Source organism: Homo sapiens, chromosome 5 (assembly GCF_000001405.40).
Source record: "Homo sapiens chromosome 5, GRCh38.p14 Primary Assembly".
NCBI classification, from domain to species: domain Eukaryota; kingdom Metazoa; phylum Chordata; class Mammalia; order Primates; family Hominidae; genus Homo; species Homo sapiens.
In genome coordinates, this window is record NC_000005.10 from 51,925,626 (window position 1) to 51,936,463 (window position 10,838).

At 37.2% G+C, this 10,838-nt stretch overlaps 1 pseudogene; it reads left to right on the plus strand.

Moving 5' to 3' along the window:
* Positions 5,068-6,609, plus strand: KATNBL1P4 (katanin regulatory subunit B1 like 1 pseudogene 4; annotated as a pseudogene).
* The last annotated feature ends 4,229 nt before the right edge of the window (positions 6,610-10,838 follow it).

Sequence of the window (10,838 nt, forward strand, 5' to 3'; positions counted from 1 at the left end):
CATTAGGCCATAAAAACTGCATGCTTTAAAAAGAAACTTAGAAACTGGCAAATGAAAAGTCTTACAACTACTGGATCTTCTTCTGTCTGTCTGTGTAGTTATATATGTGTTGTGTGTGTAATGCTTACATAAAAGAGATCTAATTAATTGGCTTAAAGAAAAGTAAGTGTTTAGATAGAATATTTTGAAAGAAATATAAAAACTGTAATGCCTTTTAGTTCACATGACTTTGGTAATCTCTGGGAAATAAAAAGTTTTAAAGATTATTGGCAAAAATAAAGACATTTGGTCTAAATTCAGCAGGCTGGATATTAAGTTTACTAAATGCTTTAAGGCCATAAACTGCTTCTTTGACTTCTCAAAATTGTTCAGTTTACCTATTTTGGAGCATTAGATTCTAGATAAAGCCTGGGGACATGTGGAAAGCCCAGCCCCGAGCTATGCTGGAAAAAGTCAGACCTTATCTGATGTCCTAGGCTCCATACTGACTACATAATTAAAATCTCTTAGTTACCAAGGTTTTTCACCAAAATTAAAAATTTCTAAGAGTTACCATTATAACATGTAATTTAGACTACTGAAAAAACAGCTTTACCTGCAAAGTATTTAAGGAAAGTAAAATGTGTTTTTAGTTTCCTCAAATACTTTAGAAAGGCATGGAAATGTGAATTTTCTTGCCTAAGTTTAGAGGGTTAAATGATTGTTTTAAGTGACATAGGAAAAATCTAAACATTTGAACAAGTTGTAAAAGTTTTATAAAATTAATTGTAAAAGAAATCCTGTGAACACTGGCTAAAGTTAAAGTGATATTACTCAGTTTTACTGTAAATTGAACATTAAAATAAAAGCACAAGAAGACTTTATTAAAGTGCTGATTTGCTCTTTCACAAAAATTATAAAGGGTTATACAAAGGCTTATAAGAATTTCACCTTATGGTCAAACTGATTAAGATTGAATCAATTTGTCTTACAAGGTTTTATTAAAAATTACAGTTGACATTAATAGTAGACTAAAGCAAAGGTGAAATTTGATGTTCTCTCTTGAACAAGATTTTCATGTAATATTACAAGATAATGAAAGATTTTTGTTTGCCTTTTTTAATAGACTACCAAAAAGAGAAGGGAAAGACAAAAGACAGATTGTTTGGAAAGCTAAGTCTTCCCTTTATGAATGAGTAAAGGTTTTTGCCTTTTTAAAATTTTTGAGTCATCATTTGACTTATGGTGACCTGGAATTCTGTTTCATAATATCAAGTGTTTTAAACCTGTAACATATTTGATAGGCTTCCCCAAATCAAATTTAAGCTTCAGAATTGTCTTTCCTGACCTCTAACTTTGGGGTGCTATGGAGGGCCCCTGAAGCATCCAAAAAAGAGGTAAACAGGACTATTTGACATGTTAAGTTACATGGGAAGCATTGTCAAAATAAAAAATAATGTTTAACCTCCTTCAGGTTATATTTTAGTGTAGGTCATCAATATGTTTTGATTAATGGGAAAAAAGATTTGTTAGGCTAATCTTAAGCTTAGTGAATCTGGTATTCTTTGAGTGTCTTTCTGTATTGTTCTGTCATAAACAGGGGTACCTTAGGATAGAACATGGTCTTAGAACCCTATAAGCCCACTGTTCAAGATGGCCCAGCAAACTGGTCTGTTATGTCCTTGGGAGCTTGACCTTGTAACCACGTGGCAGCACTTTCTTTTGGTCTCCATCATCACAATTGCAGCCCAGGTTCAGAGTTCAATTCCCCACTTAGGGAATGAGTACTTTCTTGTTTGATATCTGAATAAACTCCATGGTCTAAGTCAAATTACCTTTAATAACCCATCAGTTATCAGTGCTATGTACCTAAATTGGAGAAACAACTGATATTTAAGAAGACATAAGTCCAGTGTTAAGCATGGATTCATGGAGAACCAGGGTGGCTGCCTTTTCCTTCCTGAGTCCTTAAAGCTTTTGTTATTAAAGGTTCTGCATTCCATGACTCATCATGGAAAGGATAAAATTATCCAAATTAAATATATATTGGTGTAGTGACTTCTAAATTGCTAAAATAGTTTATAACCAATGTTTAGTTTGTCAAACCCATATTCCTGGGAAGACAATAAAAACTTCAGGCACATCTGGCTACCTGATGGACCATTTAAACATTTATAGAGAGATTTCATTCAACTGTCATTTTCAATACATATTTTTTCTGGTCATATAAAAGCTTTCCCATGCAAAAGAGCTGATGTTATATCACTAAATTATTGTGCTACAGTGTATTTTCATCAGGTAAAGAAAGCTATTCATGGTTCACTGACTGGGTATAATCAACCCCTTCACAATTTAGAATCTGAAGATTGGATCTCTGAGAACATCAGAAAAAGACTGTCCTTGCTATGCACACTACAGCAAAAACTTTGGGACTTTGAAACTGGATTTATAATCCCACAACTGAGAACAGAGTCTCTCCAAACTCTTGCAATTGTATACCCACTGGAACACTTAAGGTAAAGCTAACCAGGGAAGATGGCATCCTTTATGTGAACAGCTTTTCACAAGATCACAGATCAGGACTTCTACTATCATGAGACCCTTATTTTTGAATATTTTTTCCTTGCTTATGCCTTTATGAACAATAGAAGTGAAAAGGGGGTCTGTTGTGTGCACTTATGGAGTATACTTTCATTTGTGACCGATTTTGCAGCTGCCCTTATACATAGATAACTTTATACTTTGATAGGTGAAGGCCCAGTGTATGTGAGAAACTTTAATGGTACATATGTTTTCTCATAATCAGTCAGAAACAGAACATTTGTTCACTCCTCTGAACCCACATCATCAGTTAAAGAGAACATTGCCAAGAGGGCCTTCGATCTTCTAGAAGGGCATCGTTTGTTAGGTCCTTTTTCCATGGTTTGGAATAAAAGAGGCAATGAATAGAAATGTATACCTCACAATAGACTCTATGGCAGATTCTGCTGTAAAGACTATACTTACACAACAGACTTTAAATTCTCTTGGGAAAATTATGCTAAATAATAGAATTGGCTAAACAGAGAAGTATCTGTGTATCTGCTGACACTTATGGCCTATGGAGAAGACATCAGGTATTGCAGAGATTCAGTGGCAGGAAATTAATGAAAAGACCACTTAGTTAAGCAAGTAGACTCTTTAGCTCATTCTTTTATCTATTTAGTTTTAGATGGTTTGGTTTATGGGGACCCTGGGTAAGGAACATACTCCAAACTTTTGGTATTATCATCCCAATAGTCGTAATAGTCTCCCTGATGTTCTGTATTCTCTCAAAGGTTTTAAATGTTTGCATGCAGCCATCTCTAGGATGTCAAATGGTATCTCTTCAGATACCATGCAGAGCTAAAAGAAACGTGCAACAATGAGGACACCATAACCTATGAATGACATGCTGAGACTGGAAACCTAAAATGATGGTAACTGAGAGTGGTGCTAAGGCCCTAAGTTTTGGTCACACTGTCACCTAAATGAAAACCTGGCTGAAAGGGGTGAAATTTTTTAAACAAAATTATGGGAGGCCCTTGTTTTGGACTGAGCTTATGCACTAGGCCCCAACAGACCAAACTAAACCAAAATGGAGTCACTCATGCTAAATGTGACATAATCAAACGAAGACATTAAGGAAACACATAGATCCTAGAAGAGACCAGGTTTTGTTTTGCTCCTGTAAACAAGATGTTACAGTATGAGGGATACCCTCTACTCAAGTCCTTGTTCCTGCCTTTGAAAAACTCACTGTTCTACTGTTTCTCAGTAGGTTTCAAGACCAAATAAGTACATTTGCAATGGTGATAGTGACATCAATGACTAAAGTTTTGGTCAATCTCTCAAAATTGAGAAAATGACCAAAAGGGGGGAATTGTTAAAGTGAACTAAATATAGCCTGAGAAGGGCTCCACAATTCTGTATTTGAGTCCTTGTGGACAAACTACAACCTAACTTAATAAGTAGACAAGATTAGAAACCAAACTTAGGAGTATGTGCCTGTAACAACAGCTGAGTCTTGGCCAGTCCCAGCAGCCATACTTCAACCATTCATACACTGCTGAGTGTTCAAACTGTGTTCAAATAAGGCAAACATCAACCTGTAACCAATCTAACTGTTTTTGTACCTCACTTCCAATTTCTGTATGTCACTTTGCTTTTTTTGTCTATGAATTTGTTCTGACTATGAGTCACCCCTGGAGTCTCTCTGAATCTGCTGTGATTCTGGGGACTGCCTGCTTCGCGAATTGTCCATTGTTCAATTAAATTCCTTTAAATTTAATTCATCTGAAGTTTTTCTTTTAACAGTCCTACAAAATCTTCACTGGCTAAGCTATAAGAGGAGGTCCTCAGGTGATGTTTAATATATAAAATTTTAATTTTTAATAGGTAGTCTATACTTGGATATCAAGAGTCTGTTTTGAGAATAGTATTTTGGACACAGTGTATCTTGAATTCACCAGGGTGCTTGATACCCTTGGTAGGAAAGCTGGATTAAACGTAACTTGCTGGAAGTGTCCAATTAGAGTAAAGTGAATGTAGTGGAAAAGTTCTAGCAGCAAGTTATAGATTTGGTAATTGTACCCTTACCCAACTTTGGTAGAAATTGGATTGGCATTTGTTACAACACATCATATTAGTTGTTCATATTCCTGCTTCCTCTCCAACACCCACTCATTAATTCCCAAGGCATCATGGACTTGAATTGCGCCAGGCACCGTGCTGATGCTGAGTGTCACAGTGCAAAATTGGCCAGGTATGGTCCCTCTGTCATGGAATTTATAGTTTTATAAAGTCTTTCAATGCAGAAAATAGGTCTTATTTAATTGTATTCAAATAAACACAATAGACACTTAACAAATATTTATGAATCTTGATAGAAATTTTGTAGGGTATATATGTCACATTTTCCAAATTTTGGATGCTGCTGGAGATACACTCGATATATTGAATAAGGGATTATGGATCTAAAAGATTTTCAAATCTCTATTTTTCAATCTAGAATTGCAGTGAATAAGACTGAATTTGTAGAGATGTGATTTAAGAAACACTCAAGGTAGAAATGGCCCTGAGTAGGGCCTGGCCTACAGCCAAGGGGAACTCTAGGCTGCCTGGCATGGTTGGTCAGTGCCAGGGCTGGGCTAAGAAACCAAGAAACACCAGTATTTAAGAGATGATGGCATCTGAAACCCACAATGTTAAAAAGCAGAACTTTTGAAATAATATTCAGGATCATTTAATTGATGGACCTAGGAAAAGGATTTCTAATTTCATTAATAAGAACAAGAAGGAAGTTAAGAAACCTCAACAGTTAGCTGCTTATATAAATAGAACAGTTGGACGAACTGTCAAAAGTCCAGATAAAACTAGGTAAGGTAATCTGGCCAGGTGCAGTGGCTCACGCCTGTAATCCCAGCACTTTGGGAGGCCAAGGCAGGTGGATCATGAGGTCAGGAGATCGAGACCATCCTGGCTAACACAGTGAAACCCCATCTCTACTAAAAATACAAAAAATTAGCCAGGTGTGGTGGCTGGCATCTGTAGTCAGCCAGCTGAGGCAGGAGAATGGCGTGAACCCAGGAGGCAGAGCCTGCAGCGAGCCGAGATCGCACCACTGTACTCCAGTCTGGACTACAGAGTGAGACTCTATCTCAAAACAAAAAACAAACAAACAAAAACTATGTAAGGTAATCTTTCATAGAAAGTTAGTTCATTATCCCTTTCCAAACCTCTGTTATAGGAAAAACAAAACAAACAAAAAAACACAGTCCCCTAGAAGTGGGGCTGTGACGTGGCAAATAAAGAAAATGAACTGGTTTGTGCAGGCCACCTGCCTGAAAAATTATGCCAGAGTAGGCAAATATATTTGCTTAACCCCAGTGATTCCAATTTTTCACAGATATAAAGCCCATCATCACAATACAGTCAGTATTTTTCGCAAGTTTCTCAGGATCATGAAACAAATGGCCCAAGTTTTGCTCAGCAGGAATTTGAAACTGAATGTATCTTTAACTTTCTGGAGAAAGAAGTATACGTGAATTTGCAGCTTGTTTGGTGAGAATAGAAGATCTTGGCATTGAGGTAGATTGCCTTCCTGTGCTCACCAGTAGTTTACAGGGAGAAAAACAATATATCTTACTTGAACGCTGGGTAGGCTCGTTGCCTCTAGTAAACTCACTATGTAAAAGCAAATTTGAAAAATACCTAACAGTTGGTTTAAACTGGCTTCAAGCAGTCATTAAAAGGTGGTGGTCAGAACTATTGTCCAAAACAGAAATTATAAATAATGGAAACATTCAGATTTTAAAACAACAGTTAAATGGATTGTTAGAACAGGAAAACCACCTTACTTTGGTTCCAGGATATACTGGTAATATAGCTAAGGAAGTAGATGCTTATTTATTACCAGTGAGAGATTTAATCTACTAAAGAGCATTTGTTTATTCAAAACATTCCTGGATTATACAATTTACAAGAAAAAAAAAAGATTTCTTCCGAGAGCTCTGAACTGTGGAAGAAATTAAAACCATTTTTTCTTTTAAAAAGCCACATAATAAAACCACTAATGAAACCATAACAATCTACTTCACATAGAAGTGAAAAAATACCCAAAAGAAGCAGCTTCAACTTTAATGAGATGAAAGTACACTATGGAAAATGTTGGCCTTGCTGCATTTGGGGTTTATATAGTTATTTGCTAACATTATTTAAGAACTACTGGATCTTAACACAAGCCTGCATAAAAATATACTTTCTATTGTGTGAAAAACTAAGAGAGGGTGTATGGCTAGGAACCCTAAAGAGCAATCATCTCTTTTTGAAGTAACTTTTTGAAGACTGTGTTTTATTGAAAAAACAAATATGTGTGACTATCTTTTTGTATTTAAAAGAATGAAAGTTTAAAACAATGGCAAAAATCAATCTTAAGTATTTTTGTCCATACTGAGATACTGTGTATGTGAAATGCCTATGATACCAGTATCTGTTTTAAAAAATTAAAACCAACTATGCTTCTGCCACGACGAAATCATTAAATTAAATCAGGGGTTTATATTCATGTGGAGTGTTGTTGAAACGTATTCCATACCATTTTTAAAACTTGAAAATATCTGACCTTTTTGCCAGAATCATCATGTCTATGTGCTCTCCCTCCCATAAGCGGTTTGAGTGTGTGGCCGCTGAACAGACGAGCCACACCACTGTTGTACATCCTGTGCTGGGGATCAGGGAACTCTCCCATTTCATTAATACCTTCGTACATCAGGTATGGGTTCTTAAAGCAACATGATTCCTGGAGGGGTTAGTGCATAATTCAGTTTAATTTAACTATACATGTTCCAATAAGTAAAGTTCTTTAAAATTATGAGACTGTTTCCTATTGCTGGAAGAATTATGAGACAAGGTGTATCTCTGAATTCTTCAAAATGTGAGGGTTTTTCATAACGACAGTCTTAGAAAAGTTATTTCTTTCACACACTGCACTTTAAGTTTGGAGTTTGATGAGAATCTCAAAGTATGGAAGGGGTGGTATTCTGTACATTTGAAATTAAGATGTCATTAGTCAATCCATCTATGTATAGGTTGCTTGCAATAATCTTGACATTTGAATTTCTGATAGTATAGATTTTTTTAAATCTTTATTTTAATATGATGGTTTAAGTATCAATATATTTTATGTATTACCTATGATTATAAATTAGCATTTAGAAAAAATCTAGCAGCCAAGAATTTCTTAAACTAATGTTAAGTAAAGTGACATTGTTTATATCTTTTTTTTTTTTTTTTTGAGGTGGAGTCTCGCTCTGTTGCCCAGGCTGGAGTCCAGTGGCACATTCTCAGCTCACTGCAACCACCACCTCCCAGGTTCAAGCAATTCTCCTGCCTCAGCCTCCTGAGTAGCTGGGTTTACAGGCCTGTGCCCCCACACTCGGCTAATTTTTGTATTTTCAGTAGAGTCGAGGTTTCAACATGTTGGTCAGGCTGGTCTCGAATTCCTGACCTCGTGATTTGCCCGGCTGGGCCTCCCAAAGTGCTGGGATTATAGGAATGGGCCACTGCGCCTGGCCTTGTTTATGTCTTTTAAAACTTTGAGACAATCCTTTAAAACCTTGTTAACACCAATATTAAAGAAAAATACTAACAATTAATATCCTAAATGAATTTGAAGACATAAGCTGGTCCCTAATCACTACCTAAATGTAAGGCCAATATATGAGCCTTAAAAATCCCTTTACATAAAAACTAACCTTAAACCACTCACAACCAAAGCGTACGCCTCAAGAATACTAAATTTCAATAGTTTCCGTCAATACACTTTCACTAAACTAGTTTGTGTTTTTTGCTTTCTGCTGCTATTTTTTTGTTTTGTTTAGACTTTTTTTTCTCTCTTCCTCCTGAGAGAAGGATAAAATGATGGGAGAGCTGGAAATTCTCTGGGTTACAGGATAAATCCCTCTTGGCTGCATGTGACTGCCTCATTGAGCAGCTGGGAATACTGTAAAGCAATGCTCAGCACTCGCTCTTATAGTCTTTTATGTAATATAATATATATTTTTAAAATTGATTGTAATTTTTTTTAGCACTTTGGGGGCTGCTGGTGGTCTCTTTTTCAGGCTAAATAGACCAACTGCTGCTGCTAAAAGAGTTTATTCGACCACCCACACTCGGAAGCACAACCTCCTTCTCCCTGTGTTTCCCTGAAGTAGCAGTCAGCAAGGCCTGTGCAGTAATGACTGTGAGCAGCCTTCAGGATCAGAAAAATGTCACAGCTTGATCCCTAGAGCCTCCAGTGCCCCCATTCAATCAGTGCTCAACTGCATGACGCACCCTGGAACTTAAAATGAAAGTCCTGGATTCATGGCCAAAAATACAAACTCCCTACCGGCTCTTCCTGTGGGAGTTATTGAAGTTCTTGGTTAGCTCACCAATGGTTACCTACACTCTCCTTCTGTCCCAGATAGCAAGGAAAAAAAGGCACAACTGTAACATTTTCTGCACAAAGGCCTCAGCTGGGACGCAGAAGGACTTAAAAACAGCAGGCATATGCGTTTTAAAACAACATTTTGACAGATAAAGTCAAGTGATAAAATATAGTGAACTTATAATTACCCCTGCTATTGGAGGCAAGCAAAGAAGGTGATAGGCCAAAACAGGCATATGCCAACTCATGAAATTTCATTTTATTTTCCTCTGAAACTACAGAATTTGAGTGTTGTGTGTGTGTGTTTCCAATTATGGTAAGGGGTGATAATTTTCAGGCCCAGATAAATACAGAAGAATGGGAAAAGCAACAATAAATTAAAATTGTGCTATAAATATTTCCATACCGCTCTGCGGCAAGAGGCACATACACTTGCTCAAGGAGTATTTACATACAAAATATTGGGTGGCCTATGAGCATCTACTTGAGAGATGCCTGATACAAAATGGACCAGGAGCTTTTGGGCACAGGAAGATAGTGTAATAACTACTTGAAGAAATTTACATCAATAATAATAAAATTTTGATGACTATACAACCTTATTATCACTGGCATCCCAGGAACTTCTTATATTCTGAGTTTGTTTTCCCAACAGTCTCATTTTCTAAACTTTCAAACTTTGTTGTTACTTTGATGGAAGTAAGAGTTCAGAAAGAATTAAACCATTTCTATTACTTGCTACCATATTTTGAAATGATTTTCTCCATAGCACAAAACAGCAAATTTAATACATGTGACGTGTAAGCAGAGATACATCTTTTAGCATACATACCAAATCTTGGCTCACAATTATTTTAGTTGATAATTTAAATTTATCTTAGACCTCAAAGACCAATACCTGTTCATTATTCCATAAATTATAAGATTCAATTATGCAAGCACACTGAAGGTCTTATTTATTTATTTATTTATTTATTTTTAATTTTTTTTTTTTTTTTTTTGAGACAGAGTCTCGCTCTGTCGCCCAGGCTGGAGTGCAGTGGTGCGATCTCGGCTCACTGCAAGGGCTGCCTCCCGGGTTCACGCCACGCTCCTGCCTCAGCCTCCTGAGTAGCTGGGACTACAGGCGCCTGTCACCATGCCTGGCTAATTTTTTTGTATTTTTAGTAGAAACGGGGTTTCCCCGTGTTAGCCAGGATGGTCTCCATCTCCTGACCTCGTGATCTGCCTGCCTCAGCCTCCCAAAGTGCTGGAATTACAGGCGTGAGCCACCACGCCTGGCCAGGTCTTATTAATTTAAAATCAGATTCACACCTGTTTTTGCATATGAACGTTTGTGCAGTAATTTGAGTCCATAATAACTGACTTTATGTTACCTTTATAAATTTATAAATGACTATTTCTTTGTGAAATATGGCTTATTTCTTGATTAGGGAGACTAACAAAAGTTCAGCGAATCTGAAGATCCTACTGATAGGTGTGTCGATCATTTCTGAGGAAACTGGCATGCTGAGAAGTAAAAAATGTCCCCAAGCTAAAGAATCTTTATTCAAATAGCTGAACAGAGATGGACATGTTAATGAATCACTTTTCTCAAAATTTTATTCAAAAAATTATACATTTTTGGCCAGGCGCGTTGGCTCACACCTGTAATCCCAGCACTTTGGGAGGCCAAGATGGGCAGATCACGAGGTCAGGAGATCGAGACCATCCTGGCTAACACTGTGAAACCCCGTCTCCACTAAAAATACAAAAAATTAGCCAGGCGTGGTGGCGGGTGCCGGTAGTCCCAGCTACTCGGGAGGCTATGGCAGGAGAATGGCATGAACCCGGGAGGCAGAGCTTGCAGTGAGCCGAGATTGCGCCACTGCACTCCAGTCTGGGCAACAGGTCGAGACGCCGTCTCAAAAAA